Source organism: Homo sapiens, chromosome 14, assembly GCF_000001405.40.
Source record: "Homo sapiens chromosome 14, GRCh38.p14 Primary Assembly".
NCBI classification, from domain to species: Eukaryota; Metazoa; Chordata; class Mammalia; order Primates; family Hominidae; genus Homo; species Homo sapiens.
In genome coordinates this window covers 80,920,422-80,945,873 of record NC_000014.9, presented here as the reverse complement: position 1 = coordinate 80,945,873, position 25,452 = coordinate 80,920,422, and the positions used below count along the sequence as shown (strand labels likewise).

Sequence of the window (25,452 nt, the reverse complement as noted above, 5' to 3'; positions counted from 1 at the left end):
TTGGAAGTTGTCAGGAACGGGGGCTGTATTCTCTTGGGCTCATTTCCTCGTGGTTGTGTAGTTTATTTCCTTTCACTGCTTTACTCACTTCTCTCTGTCTGTGCAGGTTAGCATTGTCAGCTGCTTCTTGAACACAGGTGAAGATGGTCACCTCTCTATGGCGGCCTCAGCTCTTACCCGTACATCAAGACTATTCTAGCAACCAATTGGGAGCTTGAGTGCCCATTTTAAATTCTCAAAGGATAAAGAGCCTGATTGGCCCAAATTGTCTCAGGTGTCTCTCTACTCCTTGTCTAATCAGCCATGGTGAGACAGGTAGGGGCTTTGTATAACATAAACAAGGCTATAGGGGCCCAACACAGTGGGTAGAATCATTCCCAGTTTAAGGGGTGATGTGGGTGAGGCATATCAAAAATATCTCCCGCATCTACCTCAATCAAGGTATTACGTAATGAGATCATTGATGACACTAATCCTGAATAGGTACAATTTTGGGGAAAACATGTTGAAATCTTAACCCCCCATGTTACTGTTTTTGAAAATGGGACCTTTAAGGAGGTAGTTAAGTTTAAATTAGGCTATAGTATAAAGTTCTAATTCAAGATAACGGGTGTCGTTACAAGAAGAGAGAGAAACCATGTATGTGCTCATACAGGGAAAAGCCTATCTGAGGATACAGAGAAAAGATGGATCTCTGCAAGCCAAAGACAGAGACCTTAGGAGAACCTAAACTTGCTGACACATTGATCTCGGACTTGCAGCCTTCAGAATTGTGGGAAATAAATTTTTGTTGTTTAAGTCACCCATTCTGTGGTATTTAATCAAATCCCTAGTAAACTAATACATCATGTAACCTCTGTGTGCCCCTATCTGTAATACATGGTTTGCAAAAGAAGGGTACTGCAAATGATACTTGTACTGGTTTGTTTTCACCCTGCTATGAAGAACTACCTGTGACTGGGTGATTTATAAAGGAAAGTGGTTTTTTTTTTTTTTGTTTTGTTCTGTTTTTTCTGTTTTTTTTTTTTTTTTTTTTTTTTTTTTTTTTTTTGAGACAGACTCTTGACTCTGTCGCCCAGGCTGCAGTGCAGTGGCACGATCTCGGCTCACTGCAAGCTCTGCCTTCCGGGTTTACGCCGTTCTCCTGCCTCAGCCTCCCAAGTAGCTGGGACTACAGGCACCCGCCGCCACACCTGGCTAATTTTTTGTATTTTTAGTAGAGACGGAGTTTCACCATGTTAGCCAGGATGGTCTCGATCTCCTGACCTCGTGATCCGCCTGCCTCAGCCTCCCAAAGTGCTGGGATTACAGGCGTGAGCCACCGCACCTGGCAAAGGAAAGTGGTTTGATTGACTTACAGTTCTGCATGGCTGGGGAAGCCTCAGGAAACTTACAATCATGGCAGAAGGGGTAGCAAACACATCCTTCTTCACATGGTGGCAGGAGAGAGAAGTGGGCAAAATCCTCTTATAAAACCATCAGATCTCCTGAGAACTCACTCACTATCATGAGAACAGCGTGGGGGAACTGCCCCATGACCTAATCACCCCTCACAAGGTTCCTCCCCCAACATGTGGGGATTACAATTCAAGAGATTTGGGTGAGGACACAGAGCCAGACCATATCAATACTCTTTGTGGGTTTTTCTAAATCTAAGCTCAGATGATTCTGCTTGAGTATGGTATTGTGTTTGTATAATGTGTGTTGGCCATATTGATTAAAAGTAATACATATCTTTGGGAGTTATGAGACAATTTCATGTAAAATCTATTTTGTTGGTTTAACTCATTTTGTCGGCTTTAACTCATTTTGTCTATTTTGTTAAGACATAAAAAACAAAGATTCAGTGATGTGACTTCACTACTTTTTTTTTTTTTTTTGAGATGGAGTCTTACTCTGTCACCAAGGCTGGAGTGCAGTGGCACCATCTCAGCTCACTGCAACCTCCACCTCCCAGGTTCAAATGATTCTCCTGCTTCAGCCTGCCGAATAGCTGGGATTACAGGTGCCCACCACCACACCTGGTTAATTTTTGTATTTTTAGTAGAGATGGAGTTTCGCCATGTTGGCCAGGCTGGTCTCGAACTCCTGACCTCACGTGATCCACCCACCTCAGCCTCCCAAAGTGCTGGGATTACAGGCTTGAGTCAGCACCCCTGGCCTGACTTCACTACATTTTTTTGGGATGCCACGTCTGTTGACTGAGAGCACACCAAAGCTGACAAACAGCTGCTATGAATTTAGTAACATATTTAAGCATTTCTTGATCAAAATGAACGAAAATATCTGATTTTTAACCCTTTGGTCCCAGTTGTGTCCTGTAATGTTTGATTTATTTGGTTAATATCACTTTGAAAAATAAGGCCTATAGAATAGAATCCAATTCTCTAAATATGGTTGAACCAGGGAGGAAAAGCTGTGGACAATCAGTTTTTATTAATGTAGCTCGTGATTACATTAGCTCTTTTGGTAGACATTTCTCCTGCAGTTGATCTGATTATCACTTCTTCAGAAAGTTTCTCTTTTATGTCTTTCCATACAAACCTATGCAGTATTCTATTACACAGAGATTTGTAATCATTTATTGTCTTTTTCTCTCACATGGCTCTGAGCAATTTGAAAGCAAAGTCTATGTTGTTTATTTTCACTGCAACTTCAGTGTCTAAAACAATGTCTGGATACTAGAAATATACAGCATACATTTGCTGAATTACATAAATGAATAGAATTGTTTTGAAAGTTAAAATGTTTACAAATAAACAGTTATTATTATGCTTCTGCATGTATATGGGGCAATTTTATGGCTGTTCTGAATTATCTTAAACTCTGTCTGGTGGAGTGTATTCTTGAGGAACAATTTCAAGTAAGCAGCTTGAAGATAGTTGCAAATGCATAGGAGGTCTTTGGAAGAATTATTTTATGTTCAAACCAATATGAGATAGTTTTATGTCTCAGTGTTGGCCAGAAAAAAAATTTGAATAATACGACTATATCAAATTTATGTGCTAATTATTTATGACTCTGCCTGTTGGGAGGGAGGAGGGGTAAGGAGGGATGGAAGGAGAGAAAGGGGGAGAGAGAGAAAGAAAGAGAGAGAGGGATATGAACGGAGAAGGGCAAGTGAGGAAAGGGTGAGAAGAAAGATAAAAATGTACAAAAAAGGTTAGGTCCCTTTGAAGGGCTAATAGAGGGGACCAACTGGGAAATGGATTATAGAGCACAGAATTATTAGATTAAGGAACCCTTGTTATTAAACATGATCTAGCTCTTCTTCACGTAGCCAGGAAAGCTTTCACAGATCAGGTAATATTTGAGTTTAGCCTCAAAGAAGGAAGGGGAAGTGGTCTTTTTGGCAGAGAAGAAGGGCAATTCATATGACTAATTTAATTGTTACTTTTTAGCTTTCCAAAGTTCAGTTTTTTATTGAGGTTTTCATTCTCTTCGTGACTGAAACCAACTCCCCTGAGTGGAAAACATTTCTTTTATGTTCTAGAGTGAGGAGATGACACCTAGACTGAAGTAGCAGCAGTAATGAGCTGACAGCCTCACATCTACTTTTGGTGTGCCGTGAATAAGCCATATGATCTTAGGCAAGTCCCTTACTCTTTCCAGGCCAAACAGGTTGGCCTACATAATCTTCTCTGTTCCCGTCCGCTTCTAAGAATTTGTGAGTCTTTGGAACAATATACTGGACCCTGGTATTAAGGGGATTTTTACATTTCAGTGCTAGAAATTGTCTTTCCCTGTCCTCCCACCGCTCCCTTGCCCTTTTTCTACTTCCCCATCTTACCGTAGTCCTGGGGGACTCCTTTTGTCCCCCAAGGAGTAAAATTACAGTCAAGGCCAAGGAAGCATTTTTATTCACTTTCTAACTGGAGTTTGCCTCCTACAAAGGAGGCTGGTCCTTTAACAAAAAAAAAAAATAGAGCAGGGCAAGAGGGCGCGGCCAAGGGATCAGGCTTTTATCCGGGAAAGTTACCCGAAGGCCAGCTATATGGCATCCTGGGATTTGCAGTTCCTTTTCGGGACTCTCTCCCTTGGTAATTCCTTGATCATGAGGCCGAGATGGACTACAACTCCCAGAGGGCCAAGCGGCGGCAGCGGGGTCCTGTACTCTTGCTGTGGCTGGGCGGCTAGTTCAAGTTGCCATAGCTGCGAGTCTGGGGAGAGCACAGTCGGTTGAGTCGCTGCGTTTGGTCAGTTGCACCTTCTGGGTCACTGGTAGCCGCGGGAGCCGGGTGGGGCCTAGGCGATGATCCGGCATTAAGGAGCTGGGATCATCCTCCGTCTCAGGTACCTGCCCCCACCTCCCCCTTGCCCTTTTTCGACCACTTCCCCGTCTTACTGTAGACGTTTTAGTCCCACTTCCCCTCGTCCCAGGGGTGGGGACCTCAGAGCGGCGCGGGATCTGGGGTGGGGCCGTGGATGGGTGGAGTGTGTGCAGAGGTGAGGGGAGACGGCGCGCCTGTCATCCCGAGGCCTCCCTCCCTCGGCAGGGGTGTCCGCGGTCAGGTCCTGGCCAGGTTACCCAGCGAATCTGGACTACATTGTCCTTCCTTTGGGAGCAGCTTGCTCTACCGCTAGCATCTGTGAAGCTTTAAGGGACAGGAGATTGGACTCATTCGGTAGGTCCTCCAGAGGACCGTCTGACATTTGCTTGCCTGTCCTGCAAGCAAATTTGATTTTTTTTTTAATACCTGTTTTGTAGTCACAGAAAGCGTGCTACTCTCGGGAACGCTTTATTAGTGACCTCTCTTTCCCGTGCCATCATAGGATTTGCTCCAGCCTTAGCTGTTAGCAGTCCCTTAATTGAATTATTTCGTAAAAATACCTGACATTGAATCCCAGCTGCATCTTTTATTGGTTTGATGGAGCCAATCTGTTATGTAGGCGTCTGGTAAAACTTTACCATTAATTGCAGCATTGATTTGAGTATTATGTAAAGTATCTAGCACAGTGCCTGGCACCCTGCAAGTGCTCAGCATTTGTTGTTTATTTTTTATTAATTATGCAGATTAGTGTTGTCTAATACAAATACAGTGTGAGCCACTCAGGTGAATTTAAATTTTGTAGTACCCACATTAAAAAAGTAAAAAGAAACTGGTGAAATTAAATAATAGTTTATTTAGCGCAATATAGAAAAATGTTTTCAATGGAGTAAATATAAAACTTATTGAGATTTTTACTTTTTTTTTTTTGAGGAGTCTGGCTCTGTCGCCCAGGCTGGACTGCAGTGGCGCGGTCTGGGCTCACTGCAACCTCCACCTCTTGGGTTCAAGCGATTCTCCTGTCTCAGCCTCCGGAGTAGCTGGGATTACAGGCACTCGCCACCATGCCTGGCTGTACATTAAAAAAAAAAATATTTTAAGTCATCAAAATCTCTTGTGTATTTTACATGTATAGCACATGTCAGTTTGACCTGGCAAGAGCTAGAGCTCAGTAGCCATGTGTCTAGTGACTGCTGTACTGGACAGCACTAGAGATAAGGTTAAAACTTTGGCAGTTTCACATTGGCACACATAAATTTGGTTGTGCCTATGACTCATTTCATGGGTGATGGTGGCTGTTTTGTTAGAAGAGTGAAGTGTGCACTGTGCCTATGTTCTCTCAGCGTATCTTGTCTGCCATTGCATAACCTGGGTCTCTTTGAACTGTTTCTTGACAGTTTATTTTGATTAACTTTTTCAGAATACCTTTTTTTTTTCTTGAAATGGTTTATAGATGTATTCCCAGATCTACCTTTTATGTAGACAACTCCCAGTTCTCTGGATCACTTCCTGTGGATTCTTACAGATTGCTTTGAAAGCAGTCACAATTAATTGAAAATATTTCTGTCCACAGCTCTTTTCTACAACCAAAGGCATTTTATTCTTATTTATTTAATTGTAGCACTGAGTATGGGAAGAACTGGGCATCTTATAAAATATTTCCTTTAGGAGTGTTAGACTGGCTTGGAAGTATAATTGGGTCACCACATTCAGCAGTAACATGTTAACTGTATTACCTGACTTAGTTACCAACTTTTAGACATGCTCATACATAGTACTTTTTGGCTAGACTTGGGCTGCGGTTCACACTGGAGCATGAACTCTCTGGCAAGCCCCAGGGATGCCCAGGCATGGATGGAAGTCACCAGTGACAATATGTGGGCTGGGCACTTGGATGTGAAGAATTGTAGTGAGGTCTCTTGGGCTTTTGAATCATTCTAGGAGCATTTTCTCTATTCTGTGTTATGCCATAGTCTGTACATAGGGACTTAATTTTCATATTTCATTATTTAAAAATGTTTAAAGTTGTAGGTATGTCTTACCCCCTTGTTTTGTTTATTTGTAGGTGGTTTGGGGAAAGTGTAGGGGCAACCAAAGATCATCGGCTTGACTAGGCCCTTTGCCCTGAACCTCATGAAGAAATGATAGGAGGCAGACATATGTGCCTAAAAAGAGCGTTGAGCTCAGAGAAGAGCAACTCGGAGTTTTGGGGGTGTGCTTTGTAAGTATGCTTTCTCCCTGAGTTTCTGAGATAACACATTTTTTGCATATTTATGGTAGAAAAGACTATGCCAAGAAATAGAGTTTTGGGAGCAAGAAGCCCCTTCTAATATATGGTTTAAAAATAAAATATCGAATGATTGTGTATGCAGTGTTGCAAAAATTCAGATGAACAAAGTAGATAAGTTGAGATATCCTTTATAACCTTAACAAAAGCAACAGTGATGTACCTGTTTCTATTAAGCAAGGAATTGAGAACCTGCTTTGTCTCAGGCATTCTGTCAGACACCTTTTACAGGCATTATATAATTCCTTTACCATGCTTATCTTTTACAAAGGAGACAGTTGAGTCTCAGGTTATTTAATTTGCTTGGGATTCTGGAGCCAAAAGAGTGATCATTGTTCCCAGGTCTTCTGACTCCAAATTTCAGTCCCACCCACTGCCAAGGGGCTTCATTGCTGTTTATAAGTGCCCTCTAATAGAATTTGATTCACACTTAACATTTTTGGATTAAGTGGACCATATATGGCACAGTGTGCAGTTATTCATCTCTTTCAATGTTCAAAAAGTTCTATTATCTTTCTTAGTTTTTTAAAAAAAATATAGTGGTCCTTATATTATTATTGAGGTAAGAGATCATTATAATTTGTGATTTCCATAAATAAATTCAACATGAATTATCATTGATAATTAAGGGTGTAATGTTTAAAGTTTAAATTTACAACATAGATGTAAAAATTCTGGACCTTTTTTTGGATTTCATATTGTGCTCGATAGATAAAAGGCTCTGAAACATAGAGGGGAGACACACTGCGGACTTGCAGTACTAATACTGTGTGGCCGGGCGCGGTGGCTCACGCCTGTAATCCCAGTACTTTAGGAGGCCGAGGCAGGCAGATCACGAGGTCGGGAGATCGAGACCATCCTGGCTAACATGGTGAAACCTTGTCTCTACTAAAAAATACAAAAAAATTACCAGGCGTGGTGGCAGGCGCCTGTAGTCCCAGCTACTTGGGAGGCTGAGGCAGGAGAATGGCATGAACCCAGGAGGCAGAGCTTGCAATGAGCAGAGATCGCGCCACTGCACTCCAGCCTGGGCGACAGAGCAAGACTCTGTCTCAAAAAAAAAAAAAAAAAAATACTAACACTGTGTATTAAGATCAGTGGTGTACAAAATTTATAGGATTAGGCCAGGTGCATTGACTCATGCCTGTAATCCCACACTTTGGGAGGCCAAGGCAGGAGGATCGCTTGAGCCCAGGAGTTTTAGAACACCTTGGGCAACATAGCAAGACCCCGTCTCTACAAAAAAATCAAAAAATTAGCCAGGCATGGTGGCATGTGCCTTTGGTCCCTGCTACTCGGGAGGCTGAGGTGGAATGATCACTTGAGCCCAGAAGGTCGAGGCTGCAGTGAGCTGTGATCACACTACTACATGCCAGCCTGGGTGACAGAGTAAGATGCTGTCTCAAAAAAAAAAAAAATTCTTAGGATTAAAGAATTTTAGAGCTGGATGGGGGACCTATTGGGATAATCTGGTCCAGAAATTTTGGAAATAATATAAAAATAATCTAGATTTACCAGGTTATTAAAAACTATATTAGCATGTATATTATAGAATACACTATCCATGTAATGTCTCTGGGTTGATTCTGATATAAAGTAGTTACAATACATTCATACTATTGTATAGTATGTTTTTCTTTTTTCGTAAAATGTATTGTTACAGGTCAGCACTTACCATTCAACCTTGTCTCTTTTAGCAGATACATAGTATCCCAGTGATTAGATACATTTATTGTATGCTTATCCAGTGGATTTATATTTTTTTCTTATTCTTTTACAACTGTAAAAAAATTCATTCACTCTGTTGCCCAGGCTGGAGTGAATGAATGTGCTCATGGATGAATGGATGAGTGAATTAAAATTTCTGAAGAATTTCTACAGTGAAATTCTTATGCATATGTCTATACATAAAATATATATAAATATTTTATCTTCCTAGGTTAATAGTCATAGAAATAGATTTTCTGGGTCAACGTCTATGTATATTACAGATTGATTGAGACAGGGTCTCACTCTGTCACCCAGGCTGAAGTGCAGTGGTGCTATCTTGGCTCACTGTAGCCTCTACCTCCCAGGTTTGAGAAATCCTCTCACATCAGCCTCCCGAGTAGTTAGGACTACAGGTGTGCACTACCACACCTGGCTAATTTTGTTTTATTTTTTTGTAGAGACAAGGTCTCACTGTGTTGCCCAGGCTCATCTCGAACGCTTGGGCTCAAGCAATCCTCCTACCTTGGCCTCCCAAAATACTGTGATTACAGGCATGGGCCACTGCGCCTGGCCCGTATTATTTATTTTTACTTGTATTGCCAGGTTGTTCTCCAGAAAAGCTAATGTGGTTTTTTTTTTTTAAATTTTTAATTTTTGTGGGTACATAGTAGATATACATGCTAATGTAGTTTTTATAGTTAATACTCTTACAACAAGGTATAACCTTGCTAACCCTGCGAGTGAGAGGTTTTTTCATCTGTATAAAACAGATAGATAAGAATATCATTTTATTATTTTAATTTGTAATTATTTAGTGAAATAACAAATAACATTTGTTAGGGTCATTTGATTTCTGTGAATTGTCTGCTTATGTATCTTTTGAGTCTTTTACAACTGGACTGTTCTTTTTCTTGTGTTTTTGAAAGAGCTGATTAACCCTTTGGTTCCCATATAATGCAAATATTTTTGTGAGTTTTTCTTTTAGTTTTTAAAGCTTGTTTCTGGTATCTTGTTATCACTAATTATGAATGACTCAGAGACTTGTCAGGCCTTTATCGGATATGCACACCTCTCTGAAATTTCTATAATGCTAGTGCTTGGGGTATTTGGGAGATGGGAGTATTTGTGGTTACATGAATCCATTTAATTCATTCTGATAAACATTTTCCCATCCCTCCTTCCCTCCTTCCCTGTCTTCCTTCCTTCCTCTCTTTCTCTCTTTCTTTTGAGATGAAGTCTTGTTCTGTAACTCATGCTGGAGTGCAGTGGTGTCATCTTGGATCACTGCAGCCTCGACCTCCCAGGTTCAAGTGATCCTCCCACTTTGGCCTGTCAAAGTGCTGTGATTGCAGGCCTGAGCCACTGTGCCTGGCCTGATAAACATTTAGAATCTACTCTGCATACAGGGTTTGCTGTGAAACAGGTGCTCATGAATGGATGAATAAGTGCTTGTGAACGAATGTGCTCATGAATGAATGGATGAGCTTTAATTCTGTACTTCCCAGGCACTGGTCCATTTGATTCTGTCTCCTGCTCTGAAGTGCTGGAGCAGGGTGGACTCCTGATGAAATTAGAGCAAAAATACAGCCTGGAACTGAGCCTGCTAGGTTTTGGTTATGGAATAGAGATGTCTGTGTGTAAGAAAGCTTTCTACTTTTTTGAGTTTGGGCAAGTTAACTTTTGGAAGTTGTTTCCTTACCTGTCATATTGATTACAGCTATGTTTACTCTAGGGCTACTGTTGGGGTTACATTAGTTAATACAAGTAAAGTGCTTAGAACAGAGCCTGGCACAGAAAAGGGCCATTTAATTGTTGAATTATTAGTATTATTGCTTATTTTGGCTTCTACCATGATGACCACCACCACCACTACCATCATTATTGTATTCTTTAAAAACGATTAATTTCTGTTTCACTTAAGCTAGCTCATGTGTGTTCTGTTTTTTTTTTTTTTTTTTTTTTGGTGGGGGGACTCATAGCTTGAATACAACAATAAGTACTTTATTTTTATTTATTTATTTATTTATTTATTTATTTATTTATTTATTTATTGAGACAGACTCTTACTCTGTCTTACTCCAGAAGGCTGGAGTGCAGTGGTGCAATCTCGGCTCACTGCAACCTCTGCCTTCTGGGTTCAAACAATTCTCCTGCCTCAGCCTCTCAAATAGCAGGGATTACAGGTGCTCAGCACCACACCCAGCTAATTATTGTAGTTTTAGTAGAGGCAGGGTTTCACCATGCTGGCCAGGCTGGTCTTGAACTCCTGACCTCAAGTGATCCACCCACCTTGGCCTCCAAAAGTGCTGGGATTATAGGCATGAGCCACTGTGCCCAGCCAAGCACTTTATTCTTATCAGCTTATTTTGCTTTTAGGGAAGAGTACCTTTACTCATTGGTATACCTGTTTTTCATTTGTTTGTTTGTTTTTGTTTTTTGCTTTCTCACCACTGCCATTTACATGTAACAAGTGTACTGATTAAAAAGTTGGGTTTCGGAAATAGTCTTCTTGCCTGGATTTGAATCCTGGCTCTGCCACTTAAGTTACTTTGCTCCTTTAAGCCTTAGTTCTGTTTTCTGTAAAATGGGGATGATAATAATAATGTTATGAGGATCAAATGAGAGAGCATACATAAAGCACTTAGTACAGAAATTAGTCCATAGGAAACTGTAAATCAATAGCTATTATTATTTCAATAAAGTTGAACATTATTATGCCTTTGTATAAATGTAAGCAAGTAATATACCAGTTATAGTCTCATAATTTTACAGAAAAAAAATTAAAACAAATATTCTTTTTTGTCTTGGTTTATATATGTTTCCAGTTATGGGGTCTCCTATTTATTTAGAAGGTTGCTTTAAGATTATGGTTTGAATCCAGGCTTTTCTAGCTACTTAACTACTGGGAGCGTTAGTAGTTCTTCATTTGCAAAAAAGGGACTACTTTGTTCATTTAAGAAGTAAATATTGAATGTGCCGGACACTCAGACACTATGCTGGGGCCTGGGAATAGATGAACAAGAGCTAGTATATGCCCTCAGGGAGGTTAGAAATCCTGCCTTGTAAGATTGGCCTGAGGTTAAGCCAAGCTTTGCAGAGATACTTTACTGTATGCAAAGTATCTGTCATACCTAGGTGCTCAGTAAATGGTGGTTCTCGCGTTTGTACCTCTGATGTTCTGATTTCCAGCTATGTGCTCCAATCGTTAAATCCAGTATGTTTCTACTTTATCGATGTTTTAAAAAACATTTCCTGTTGACCTTTAATTTTAAGGTCTGCTCAATAAACTTTTGCCAAAGGATGGTCTTTGAGTTCTTAGACAAGAAATCATTATCTTCTTCCTGACCCTTAAAATTGGCTGTGCCATAGTTTGCTGAACCATCTGGTACTGTAAAGCAGTTTTAGGATGAAGGCCATTATTTGTGTAACTTATTAAGACAGGAGGCTTGAAAGCTGGGAATTAACTGCAGAGGGTGGGGGAAGTGTGTCACAGTGTTTGCAGGAAAGATGTGTAGCACATCCTCAGCTGGTGGTTGCATAGGACTCTCCACAGTAAGTGACTTGCTTGCATGGATCCTAATGGTAGGTCGGGCTTGTCTGAAGTCTGCCATCTTATTTCTTGTATATCGGACCTCCCTGGCATCAGAGTCTCAAATATTTTGCAATCTAAGGCTTATTTCCCACACATAAATATTCCTTTCTAGCTACTAATCTCTTTCTTCACATATGCAGACTTCCTAAAAGAATGATTTATACACAGTGCTTCTGCTTTTTCACCTCCTATTTACTCCACAACCTGGCATCGTCCTCACCTAAGCATTTTACTGAGACTGCTTTTGATACAGTCACTAGCACTTCCAAAGGATACTTTCTATTCCTTTTCCTACTTGACGTATTTGTTGGATTTGTCCCTCAGAGTTCACTCAGCATTTGCCCCTAAACAGATGAGACAGATGTCCCATAGTAATTTTAACAGGGAAAGCTTAACATACAGCAGAGGTTGATAAGCCATATCCCATGGGCTAAATTTAGCTTACCACAGGTCAAATCAAGCTACCCCATTCATTTATAATTGTCTGTGCTTTTGTGCTACAGCTGGCAGAGGCTCACAGTTGGGCAGAGAAAAAAAATTTGCTGACTCCTGATATAATTAACTATAAGGGGATTATCTGTAAAAGGACAGAGATGACTCTAAAGAATCCCCTGGGCTGACAGACAGTGCCCAAAGGAGATATAAACTTAGAGGGGGCTCTCTGCAAGGCTGGGATTCCTACCTTGTTGGAGGTGTGGCTATAGCTCCCTGAATGGTGGAGAGACTTACTGAGTTACTGGGGCCATAGCTGATCCACAGTTGCTGGGGAAGGAGAGGACACTGTTCCTAATTAAAGGCGGAGTGACGCTGGAAGGCAGGGAACCACACCACGAATGATGGGCAGGAAACACCTCTCCAGGATGCTGGTAGGGTGAAGCTGGGGGATTGACTGTGAGGTTGTCTGTCAGATTCAGTAAGAATCTGAGTAGGGGGTGGGGCTACTGAAACTTGATGGGAAGCTGCCCAATGTGGGTACTGCTGAAACTTGATGGAGTTGAGTACCACTGGATATCCTCACACAGGATGCTGAAATGAAAATGCAACAAATGGAAAACATGGAACCAGAAAGAGAAGCGCCTTCCTTCTGCAGTGTCCTTTTAAAAAATCATTATTATTATTATTATTATTTGGTTTCAATAGCTTTAGGGCAGGGGTCCCCAACCTTTTTGGCACCAGAGGCACTTTTCATGGAGGACAATTTTTTCACAGACTGGGAGGCAGAGAGAAGGATGGTTTTGGGATGATTCAAGTGCATTGCATTTATTGTGTACTTTATTTCTGTTATTATTACACTGTAATATATAAAGAAATAATTATGCAACTCACCATAGAGTCAGTGGGAGCCCTGAGCTTTTTTTTCCTGCAACTAGACAGTCCCGTCTTGGGGTCATGGGAGACAGTGACACCCAAAGTGTGTTGCTTACGTCCATTCTACTCTGTAGTCTCATTTTTGTTGCTGTCACTGCAGAAAAACCTGCTTCACAAAGATAAGATGTTGGAAATGGAAGCAGGCTTTTTGGTGCACAAGGCAATCTCAGGATATTTTGCCTTGACTTAAATCCAGAACATATAGAGGTTTGAAGTTGTCTCAGACATACTTTTAAGGCCAGAGTCATTTGCAATCTCAGGAAGTTGATCCTCTTCTAGCATGGACAAAGTTGATTCACCTGGTTTATTTACAAGTGGGTTGCGGAACCATTTCTTCCCAATTTGGGGATCTTTTATGGTTGAGAAGTATGTTGGTCCATTCTCATGCTGCTATGAAGAAATACCCGAGACTGGGTAATTTATAAAGGAAAGAGGTTTAATTGACCCATAGTTCCGCATGGCTGCGGAGGCCTCAGGAAACCTACAATCGTGGTGGAAGGGATGCAAACACATCCTTCTTCACATGGCATCAGGAGAGAGAAGTGCCAGGTGAAGGAGGAAAAGCCCCTTATAAAACCATCAGATCTTGTGAGAACTCACTACTATCATGAGAACAGCATGGGGGTAACTGCCCCTATGAGTCAATTACCTCCCACCAGTCTCTCCCACGACACATGGGGATTACGAGAACTACAATTCAAGATGAGATTTGGGTGGAGACACAGCCAGACTATATTAGGAAGTAATACTCAAACTCCTTTGAAAGCTGAGATAGATGATCATACACCAGCTGGGAGAAAGAAGGCCCTGGCTCAGTCTCTTTCAAAATCTCTGCTAATATTTGAAACATGTCAAAAATCCCAATGTTCACTGGTTGCCCCCATAATTCTAGTTTTCTCTGAATGCATCCACTTTATCTGCTGACTTGAACACAGTTGTCGTTTTCCCGTGAAGTGACAGGTTGAGTTTGTGGAGCAGGTTGAATTTGAATATGTCAGTCACACAAGTAAACAAGTTTTACAACCCATTCTGTGTCACTGAAATGTGCTGCCAGTAGTGACTGTATTTCTAAAAGAACTCTCTGGAGCAGCTGTTGTAACTCAAAATCTCTGGCCAGTGATCTACCTTTAGAAAGCCATCTCACTTCTGTGTATAAGAGATGATGTGTGTGCTCTGCATCTCCTCACAGAGCTGCAAGAACAGACATGAGTTAAGGGCATGTACTTTAATGTGGCTGATAATTTTAATCACATCCTGCAAAACGTTGTTAGGTTCAGGTGACATTGTTCAGCTACCCAGCATTTCTCCATGGATGACACAGTGCATAGACTCATATTCAGAAGCACCCTCTTTGACTTGAGTAGTGAAACCAGCAAGCCGTTCAGTCATGGCAGCTGCTTCGTCTGTGCACATACCAACACAAAATGACCAATGTGGTTTTCCTGTTAGGTAATCATTCAAAGACTTTAATAGTTCTGCAGCTGTGGTGTTGGTTGGCAACAAAAGTACGCATATCGTATCCTCATGCACATCCTCCTGAAAAATATATCACATAAAAACAAGCATTCTTGCCTTATCGTCAACATTGACAGGCTCATCAACCTGGATTGCATACCACGATGACTCATTAATCCTCTTTAACAGTTGTACCTCACTATCCTCTGTTATTTCATCATTCATCTAGTTATAGTGCTAGCCAAAAGAGGAACACGTGCCACCTTTTGAACTGCAACCTCTCCTAAAAGTTCATGACAAATGTCCTTAGCAGCAAGCAGGTCAACTCTTCACCAATAGTAAAGGACTTCTTAGCTTTAGCAATGTGGTTAGCCACTGAGAATGATGCTCGCAGTACAGATGCATTTGATGAAGTGGTGGCCTTCAATAATTGCTTCTGTTCTTTGTGTTCATGTTTTTTTCTTTTGAAAAACTCCAGAGGCTTGTCTTTTAATGCAGTGTGCATGGTCTCCATGTGGTGAAGCAGTTTTGAAGGTTTCGTGGCTTTATTGCATAGCTGGTCATCACATACACAAAGCAGGCTTGGAGAAGGCGAATCACCTGTTGCAATGAACTCTTAATTTAAGGAGGACTCTTGGTAATTTTTTTAAATGGAGTTTTCTTCTTGTTGGCACTTTTAGCATCTTCTGCTGTCCCATCATTGGATCTTTCCCCCTTTTCAAAGAAGCTCTCCAGTGACATTTGTTTTTTACTCATTTTGGCTAGGGGTAGCTTGCGGGCTTACCAAAACAGTGACTGAGACAAGTGCATAGTGCAGGAAAGAGGTATGGACAGAAGTGGTAAATAAAATAATGGGCGGGCCATGTGCGGACTGAAGTATCAGATCCTGACTTAAAGCCTGCCGCCAGATGCAGCTTGTCACTTGCCACTCACTGATAGGGTTTTGATATGAGTCTGCAAGCAGTAGATTTACTACGGTCTCTGGGCAGTCAAACCTCTCTGCTAATGTTAATTTGTATTTGTAGCTGCTCCCAGCACTAGAATCACCACCTCAGCTCCACCTCAGGTCATCAGACATTAGATTCTCATAAGGAACACACAACCTAGATCCCTTGCATGTACAGTTCACAGTAGAGCTTGTGCTCCTAGGACAATCTAATGCCACCGCTGATCTGACAGAAAGTGGAGCTCAGGTGGTAATGCAAGTGAAGGGGGCAGCTGTAAATACAGATGAAACTTTGCTCACCCACCCGCTGTTCACCTGCTGCTCTGCATCCCGGTTCCTAACAGGCCACGGACTGGTAGTGGTCCTTGGCTCATGGCTGGAGACCCCTGCTTTAGGATGTAAGTGGTTTTTGGTTACATGGATGAATCGTATAGTGGTGAAGTCTGGGATTTTAGGCACCTGTCACCTGAGTAGTGTACATTGTACCCAATAGGTAGTTTTTCATCCCTCAACCCCCTCTCACACTGCCCCCTTCCAAGTCTCCAGTGTCCACTCTACCACTCTGTATGTCTTTGTGTACTCATAGCTTAGCTCCCACTTGTAAGTGAGAACATGAAATAGTTGGCTTTTGATTTCTGAGTTACTTAGAATAATAGCCTCCAGTTCTAACCAAGTTGCTGCAAAATACATTATTTTGTTCTTCTTTATGGCTGAGTAGTATTCCATGGTATACATATATACCACATTTTCCTTATGCACTCATCAGTTGATGGGCACTTAGGTTGATTCCATATCGTTGCAATTGTGAATTGTGCTGTGACAAACATAGATGTGCAGATGTCTTTTTGACATAGTGACTTATTTTCCTTTGGGTAGATACCCTGTAGTGGGATTCCTGATTCAAATGATAGATCTACTTTTAGTTCTTTGAGAAATCTCCATACTATTTTCCATAGAGGTTGTACTGATTTACATTTCCATCAGTAGTGTATAAGCATTCTCATTTCATTACATCCACACCAATATCTATTGTTGTTTGACATTTTAATAATGGCCATTCTGCTGGGATAAGATGGTATCTTATTGTGGCTTTCATTTGGATTTCTCTGATTAGTGATGTTGATCATTTTTTTTCATGTTTGTTGGCCATTTGTATATCTTCTTTTGAGAACTGTCTGTTTATGTCATTTGCCCACTTTTTAATAGGATTACTTTTTTTTTTCTGATATGTTTGAGTTCCTTGTAGATTCTGGATATTAGCCCTTTGTTGGATATATAATTTGCAAGTATTTTCTCCCATCCTGTAGGTTGTTTGCTCTGATGATTATTTCTTTTGCTGTGCAGAAACTTTTTAGTTTAATTAGGTCCCATTTATTTTTGTTTTTGTTGCATTTGCATTTGTGGTCTTAGTCATAAATTTGTTGCCTAGGCCAATGTCCAGAAGAGTTTTTCCTAGGTTTTCTTCTTAAATTTTTTATAGGTTTAGGTCTTAGATTTAAATCTTTAATCCATCTCGAGTTAATTATGTATATGGAGAGTGACAGGGATCTACCTTCTTTCTCAGGAACGCCTGTGATTCTTAGGTTTGGCCATTTTACATAATTCCATATTTCTTGGAGATTTTCTTCATATCTATTCATTCTTCTTTCTTTATTTTTGTCTGATTGGGTTACTTAGAAAGCCTTGTTTTCGAGCTCTGAAATTCTTTTTTCTTCTTGGTCTAGTCTACTGTTAAGATTTTTCGCTGCATTTTGTAGTTCCCTAAATGTGTCTTTCACTTCCAAAAGTTCTGGTTTGTTTTTCTTTACAATGTCTGTCTCTTTAGAACATTTTTCATTCATGTCCTGAATTGTTTCATTAATTTCTTTATGTTGGTTTTCACCTTTCCTTTTTATCTCCTTGAATAATTTAATAATCAACCTTTTGAATTTTTTATCTGGTATTTCAAAAATTTCATCTTGGTTTGGATCCATTGCTGGAGAGTTAGTGTGATCTTTTGGGAGTGTTATAGAACTCTGTTCTTTCATATTGCCAGAATTATTTTTCTAGTTTCCTTCTTATTTGGGTAGACTGTTTCTTCTAATTATTTTTGAATTTGTTTTTGATTGGACAGGGATTTTTAAAAACTTTCTTCTCCCCGCTGCCCCACCTTGAGGATGTAACTTTAATGTTTATAGTTGATTGTCACCTAGTTTTGGCTTTGGGTACTTTCAATGGCAAAGACTCTGTGTGAGTTTCCTGGTTATAGAAAATCTTTGTGTGATGGCTTTCTCTGATGCTGGTTGTAGTAGCGATGTGCTGGGTGTGTGAGCAGGTTTACTCTCTCCTGTGGGGCTGGAATGGTAGAAATCTTATGAAGCTTATCTCATTCCTCAGAGGTATGCACTTAAAATTTTATTTTCCTGTTGTTTTATTTACTGGGTTGAACAGTTCAGGCTTCAGGCCAGTAGGAGGTGCCCATGGTGAAAAACAGCTACAACTAAAGCAGTTGGGTAAATGCAGTATCCCAGTGGTGGGCAGAGGTCACAGCCTCAACAGAGATGGCTGGGAAAGCTCTCAGTGAAATGCACTGAGGTCTTTTTGGTGGGCAAGGGAGGGAGCCACCACAGCCTCCCTTCTGGGCCACTGGGAAAGCAATCCACCTCCCAGTCACACTCTGCACGAAGTGCTCTGGCTATTCAGATCAGACAGGCACCTCTTTTCATGCATGTAGAGGCGGACTGTGACTCTAGCTGTCTTGCAAGCCTGAACCTGGAGGACATTCCTCTTGTGGGGGTGCAGTCACCCTGAAGTGTTATGGAAAGGCTGTCTACAGATGCACCCATGCCATGCTCCTGTGGGAGGAGCCCCAGCTGTGTCTGCAGTGCTGAGTGAGGGGGAGAAATAGTTCCCTTTTCCAAGATCCTTCATGAGCACCAGGGCTGCCTGACAATTGGGGTAGAGCCACATACTTTTCCTACTGAGCCCAGCACTGCACCTGTGCCTCTGCTGAAAGAAACTTCCCACAAGTGGAAGGTTCAGGGACTCAGAGCCTGCAGTCCGGTTTCTTTTGTCCGACGGGGTGTCTGCCCTCTTAATGTGGTACACGCCCCCTTACCCTAGGAGTAGCAGTTTCTGACGGCCAGACCACTGTGAATCTTGCTGCTGCTCTGGGTCTAGCCACCTAGTGGGGCTGCCGCACTCTGGGCTGGAGCTGGAGAATGTCTAAAAGGGATCCACTGCTGTAAACTGTCCTCCAGTTTCCCAACAGTGAGTACTAGCATGGCTCTGATGGGGGTGAGAGGAGAGTGACATAGACTCTGTGAGATTTCCTTGGTTATAAATAGCCTTAGTGTGTTGGCTTTCTCAAATGCCAGCTGTAGTAGTAATGTACTGGGGCTGTGGACAGACTCAAGGCCTCCTGGTTAACCAGGGTGATGCAGGCAATGGTGGTAGCTGAGGTCATGCAAAAAGTTTTCTCCTTCCTGAGCACTGTGATGTGCCTGCAGATATTGTAATGGGCTGTGCTGGTTTGCTTCCAGCCTGGAGGTGGTGCTTGCAAAAGAGCAACAGTTGCAGTATCAGTGGTGGGATTTGTGCTTGCCTTATGTTACCCAGGGGAGGTATTCTAGTGTCTCAGGCAATGGGTGGGGCCATGGAGCATGCAAAAGTCTCTGTCTGTTGTGTTAGGCTACCAGAGTAGGTGGATGGGCAAAGCTAGTTGGGGCTGGGTCAGGCAAGTCCACACTCTGGCTCCCCACGTTTGAGTGCAAATAGTGGCTCCAATGGGGATTAGAGGGCAGTTCCCTGGTCGCAGGGGTAATGTTCCAGGGAGGAGCACAGCTACGTCTGCTGCACAGAAGAATCCACAAGGGGAAGGGTGTGGTAGCGGGTGGCAGTAAGCCCCACTCAGCTCCCATGAACTTGGCAAGGCAGGTCTCATACCCACAGTGTTGTGCTAGCAGTAGCTAGCTGGGTTCCAGGCAGCCCTCAAAACTGTCCCAAGCCATAAGTGTTCCCAACTGACACAGAAACCAGCTTTTAGGTCGTGCCCCTCCTGGTCAGCCCATGAAGTAGAGGCACCCAGGTCCTGTGCCTGTGGCTATAGCACACTTTCTGCCCACCCCTCGGTTCTGACCAAGGGCATTTGTCCCCACTAAAGATTATATCACAGGTCTCAGTTGGGAGCTTCTCTCAACCTGTGACCACTGCCTCAGTTAACCAGCAGACTTCAGGTGAGGTCCCCTGTGAGGTAGGATCAGGAATGGCTTCCCTCTGTCCCTGCTTGGTTCTGGGAGTAAACACGGTTCGATGCTGCTCCTTTTCATAAAACCTCACTGCTCACTAAGTAGCACCAGCGCTAGGTAGGGTTAAGGTGTTCCCCTGTGGCCTGGATTGCTCGGCTCCCCAGTGGGAGAGTGTATCATGGAGGCAGTCTCTCCTCCCCACTCATGCTCTGGCAACTCCCAGTTTTCCTCCTGGTTTATCATGTAGACTACTGCCCACTGCTTCTTTCAAAGGGTTTGTGGTTTCTTTCAGTGTTTTTTAAGTTCCTGTGTTGCTTCTTGGAAGAAAGTTCATAGCATGACTTTCTACACACTATTTTGTTTATCCCAGTGGGAGAGGCATGCCAATAATGCCTCCATTCCACTATCTTGGAGAAAAAAAAAACCAAAAAAACAAAAAACCCTTCCAACACTTTCTATGACAAAGTTTAACATCACACTAGCTACAAAGGAGAAATATTTAAAGGCCTCAGCTCTGTTTGCAAAGAGCAGACAATGAAGGATGGATTTGGAGTTGAAAGGCAATTCATTGATTACTGGGAAATTCTAACAGTTTTTTTCTCACTTTTTTGAAACCCTTCTTTTCATAACTTCTGTTGTACAATTTCCCCTAGTTTTTCACCTACTTCTCATGTTTCTTCTCAATCTCATTGGCCACCTCCTCTGTCTGCCTTTTGTATGTTGGAGTTCTTGCGGGGTTTTCTTTGGTTCTACTTCTTTTCTCACTGTGCATTTTTTTTCTTGGTGGTCTTATCCACCCCTATACTGATGACTATCAAATATTTCCTTAGACTCACATATCCGGTTGCATATTAGACATCTTTAGTTTGATATTTCCTCCCATGAAACACAAATTGATCCTCTCTTTCTAATTGAAGCTTAGACAAGTTCAATTTAGAACATATGTTCTCCTAAAAGCTCTTTCTTTTCATTGATTTCTTTGCTCAGTTTAATAGTTCAGGATCCATCCAGCTACCAAAACCAGAAACTTGTGATTCATCTTTTACTCTTTTACCTTGCCATCAGAGTTAATTCATCCCTGCTATACTTCATCTCCACTGCCATTGTCTTAGGTGCTCACCATTCATTACCTAATGATTGCAACAGCCTCCCAGCTGTTCTACTGTTGATGTGCTTATTACCATGTCACTCCCCACTCAGGATCCTTCAGTTTTTTTTCTTTAGTTATAGTAGTGGCTTTCAAATGTTTTTATTTTCTTTTGAAAATAGTAGAATCATTAAAAAAAACCCCCATGAAACCATAGAATGAAAATCAGACGAGGGCAGAACTTCCCTGGTAGAAGGATGCAAGAGCTCAGCTTATTTGGATCCTGTCTACTTTTCTCTAGACAGGTTTTAAGTGGATCCTATTTCCTTGTCTCATCCACCTGTCAAACTTATGTGCATCCTTCAAGATGAGTGGAAAAATCCTAACCTGACTCCCCAAGGATTTTGTTGTATTACTTAGCTCACCGTTTATAATACACTTAAATGTCCTTCTCTCCCATCAAGACTATGACTTATTTATTTACTTTCATCTTTCATTTCTAATGTAGTGACAACTCATTAAATGATGAAAAATCAATTTAAGTATCTGATTCTGTTTCCTAATGTATTATGTTCACTAACATAACAGAACTGACTGGTGGACTGGACAGTTGATTTTGATCTTTTATAAATTTACCAAAAGACTTTGAGGAGATGAAGTTACAGAAGAGCACTGATGTAAAGAAGACAGGTACAATTGTTAATTGTTTCTGCATGGTAATGTCTCCTGGCTTATTAACTTTTTCACTAGAAGGATAAGGCAAAGCTCTCAAGTCCTACAGCTATTGAAACTCTTAGTTCATTTTCATACTGCTATAAAGATATGACATGAGATTGGGTAATTTATAAACAAAGAGGTTTAATTGACTCACAGTTCCGCATGACTGGGGAGACCTCAGGAAACTTACAATCATGGTGGAAGGTGAAGGGGAAGCAAGCTTGGACCTTCTCATATGGTGGCAGGAGAGAGAAGAGTGAGGAGCGAAGAGGGAAGAGCCCCTTATAAAACCATCAGATCTTGTGAGAACTCACTATCATGAGAACAGCATGGAGGAAACTGCCTCCATGATCCTGTCACCTCCCATCAGGTCTCTCACTAAATGCATGGGGATTATGGGGATTACAATTTAAGATGAGATTTGTGTGGGGACGCAAAGCCTAACCATATCAGAAACAGTGAGAAATACATAAAATTTGAATTTTGTTAATGATTAAGTGTAAAGTACACTCCCAATTTTCCCTTACCCCCCTAAGTATCAACACAATTACCTTGAGCATCTTCTTTGAGGATGATTACCTTGGGCAGGGACAGCTGAGGCACTTGGAGGCCACAGAAGCAATCACCTACTTAACATGCACTAGTCAGTCTTTGTGAAATATCACCCCTGATGCTGGGTGCTTATCTTTTATGGAACAGCTTGCAAATCCTAATTGTTTTAAACTGGCTCAGAGGAAAAGAGGTTTGAGAATCAATAAATTACAGCTCTCATACATACAAATGTGCATCATTATAATGAAGACAATCTGATGGCTCTTTAGGTCAAATAACAAAAGAGGTGGACTTGAGTTTGTAAAGGCTCATTGCCAATCCTCTTATTACAAAGGTTGAATTCAGTTTTACTCTCTCTAGTTGGAGTATTCAAGTTTGCATATGGGCATTTGTTTCAGATGGATAGATCCTCAGTGGGAGTGAATTGATGAGGATTTGTTATTTGCTCTGGTGGCTGTATTTCTTCTTTATAAGGTTCATTAAGACAGAAGCAACAATATTTATGCCTTTAAATACTGATTTGTTGGGAGCAGCTAAATAAGCTATTCTAAGAATTGTGATATCAGACCCAGAGCTTGCTCTAAGATTCCAGAGACTTTCTCTCAAGGTCACCCATCTTAGTCTTCTCTAGAGATTTGGAAAAAGCTCACGTCTGAAAAGCAGACGGCACAAATATTGTTGCTTTCTTGTTAATAAGAAATTTTGTTGCACCAGCAGGTGGTAGTAAGCTGCAGAAGAGTGTTCACTGCTTTTTCTCCAATTGAAAGAAATACCTTTCTCAGCTTTAACCAGAATTTAGATATTTCTGTTTCTTTAAATTGTTATTCAAGAGTTTGGTCATTCTTCAAATTTAGCAGTTCTTCCTTTTCTTTCAGCAATGTGTCATGCTGAAATTTCTTATGATAATGAGGGTAAATTTCTTATCTAATTGAACTTTTTTCTTTTAAATCTTTAAAGACAATAATGAAGATTTTCCTTGAGCATACATAAATGTTTTTCTTCTTCTACTCTTAATAATTCGTCTTTGCGCTTCAAATTATAATAGTGATTAAACATAACTTGTGAACCATTTTTAATTCGTTCTCCAAAGTAGATTTTGATGCATAAGTGATGTTGGTACACATTAATATATTTTTATATCCTCCAATTTTTATGTTCATTCTAGTAGTTTAGAATGTTTCTTTAAGTGAGTCATCTTTGAATCTAGTAACTGCACTTCAGTAAAACTACACAGCGAAAATAATATACAATTAAAATAAATTTTCTTTCAGTTCATAAGGCATGATAAGTGTTTCCTTTGGTCAGTGAATGCTCTTCAGTATGAAATAGTAAAGATTGGCACTGTGATCCCGTTTCTTCAGCTCATCAGTTGGTGAGAACTAGTGGCATGGCCCTACCTAGGTAGATGCCAGGGGACTAGGAAATAAGGTCAGGAAGTTGCCATGGAGGAAAAGGACACAGTTACCAAGAAAATGGAAGTTCTGAATATAGAGCTTTTATTTAATCAAATTTTCCAGGTCGACAGCTTGTTAATCTGCTGTCAGCCTGTTAACCGGCTATCTCTGAAGAGGTCTTTAAATTTGTTTTTGTTTCTTTTAAGTACACATTATAGTTTTCTTTCTGATTATACTCCATTTGCATTAATGTATATTAATGCAAATCATTGTAGAAAATTCATGAAATGTAGGAATTTTTTTTTTTTTTGGGATGGAGTCTCGGTTGTCGCCCCAGCTGGAGTGCAGTGGCGTGATCTTGGCTCACTGCAGCCTCCGCCTCCCGGGTTCAAGTGATTGTCCTGTCTCAGCCTCCTGAGTGGCTGGGATTACAGGCGCACGCCGCCATGCCCAGCTAATTTTTGTATTTTAGTAGAGATGGGGTTTCACCGTGTTGTCCAGGCTGGTCTCAAACTCCTGAGCTGAGGCAGTCCGCCTGCCTTGGCCTCCCAAAGTGCTAAGATAACAGGCATGAGCCACTGCGCCCGGCCGGACTGTTATTGAAAAAACAAATCAGCTATAACCTCTGGATAGTAAAGCTATTTTTGTTCTGTTTCTCCCCACTCCCTCTTTACCTCTGCCTTTCCCCACACCTCTAAATTTATATATTGGTTGTCTTAGCTCATTTTCTGTTGTTTATAAGAGAATACCTGAAACTGGGTAATTTATAAAGAAAAGGATTTTATTTCTTTCAGTTACGGAGGCTGAGAAGTCCAAGGTTGAGGGGCTGTATCTAGTGAGAACCTTCTTACTGGTGAGGACTGTCTTCAGAGTCCAGGGTATCACCTGGTGAGGGGGCCAAGCATACTTATTTCGTCTCTCTTCTTCTTGTAAAACCACCAGTGCCCACTAATCCATTACTCCATGAATAGATTAATCCATTCATAAGGGAGGAGCCTTCATGACCCAATCACCTTTTAAAGGTCCCACCTCTCAATACTGCCTCACTGGGGATTAAATTTCAACGTGAATTTTGGAGGGGACATTCAAACCATAGAACTGGTAATTTATATACACATACAGATAACATTTATTATGAAATTGGAATTCATGCTTTTATCCCGTGCTTTGTCATTAAATGTTCTTCAGAAACAAATTTTTTAATGTCTGTGTTCATTGTATAGATGTACCATAGTTTAACCATTCTTGTATTTTGAAATTTGAGTTGTTTTTATTTTGCCTCTATTACAGTAAATATTCTTGTATATAAATTTTTGTATGTATTCTAAATGATTTTATTAGGAGAAATTTTTGGAAATGTAATTACCAGGGCAAAGGTATAAGCTCTTCTTGATACTTATTACCTGCTGACATCCAGACAAGTTATTCAAATTTACATGTTCCCATTAGGAAAGTGTAGGAGTGCTCCTTCCCCTACAACCTCGCTAACCATAGACATTACCATTTAAAAGAAAACAATTACATAGTCTAGAAAAGCGTCTTATTGTTTAAATTATATTTCTTAGATTATTAGGTTAAATGTTTTCTCATGGCCCTGAATATTTGTTTCCTTATGTGACGACTCTCAATATGTTGTTATTAACATGGAATGAAATAATAGGTAAACCTTAATTGAGGAAAATATTTTCAGAGGCCTGGTCAGTTTTCATTAATGCCAGTGATATTACTATTTACCATTCTTTTATAAAATTAATTTTTAATTATAGTATAAAATAATACATTGTTAATGACAAAAGAAGAGTATATAATTGACGCATATTGCTTTGTACTTTTCTTTTTGAGTCAGTTAT

General features: G+C 40.9%; 1 protein-coding gene across 14 annotated transcripts in view, besides 5 other annotated features; it reads left to right on the top strand.

Moving 5' to 3' along the window:
• CEP128 (centrosomal protein 128) overlaps positions 1-25,452 on the top strand; it is a 482,534-nt gene that overhangs the window by 13,629 nt on the left and 443,453 nt on the right. For 8 of the 14 annotated variants that reach the window (NR_157142.2, XM_047431023.1, XM_011536493.3 and 5 more), the window contains exons 1-2: positions 4,136-4,293; positions 6,334-6,489. The exons of 2 other annotated variants lie outside the window; for them this stretch is intronic. The gene's annotated coding sequence lies outside the window, so the exon portion shown is untranslated. Of the gene's footprint in view, positions 1-3,493; positions 3,591-4,135; positions 4,294-6,333; positions 6,490-25,452 lie in introns of those variants that run through there. 4 more of the 14 variants (XM_047431021.1, XM_047431019.1, XM_047431018.1 and 1 more) reach the window with 3 other exon arrangements.
• Positions 3,842-3,921: an enhancer, noted in NCBI's record as "active region_8822". NCBI's record gives its function as "activates an Ori minimal core promoter by ATAC-STARR-seq in GM12878 lymphoblastoid cells {active_cell/tissue: GM12878}" and the evidence as "EXISTENCE:reporter gene assay evidence [ECO:0000049][PMID:35858748]".
• Positions 4,222-4,301: an enhancer, noted in NCBI's record as "active region_8821". NCBI's record gives its function as "activates an Ori minimal core promoter by ATAC-STARR-seq in GM12878 lymphoblastoid cells {active_cell/tissue: GM12878}" and the evidence as "EXISTENCE:reporter gene assay evidence [ECO:0000049][PMID:35858748]".
• Positions 13,887-13,936: an enhancer, noted in NCBI's record as "active region_8820". NCBI's record gives its function as "activates an Ori minimal core promoter by ATAC-STARR-seq in GM12878 lymphoblastoid cells {active_cell/tissue: GM12878}" and the evidence as "EXISTENCE:reporter gene assay evidence [ECO:0000049][PMID:35858748]".
• Positions 14,747-14,816: an enhancer, noted in NCBI's record as "active region_8819". NCBI's record gives its function as "activates an Ori minimal core promoter by ATAC-STARR-seq in GM12878 lymphoblastoid cells {active_cell/tissue: GM12878}" and the evidence as "EXISTENCE:reporter gene assay evidence [ECO:0000049][PMID:35858748]".
• Positions 14,837-14,966: an enhancer, noted in NCBI's record as "active region_8818". NCBI's record gives its function as "activates an Ori minimal core promoter by ATAC-STARR-seq in GM12878 lymphoblastoid cells {active_cell/tissue: GM12878}" and the evidence as "EXISTENCE:reporter gene assay evidence [ECO:0000049][PMID:35858748]".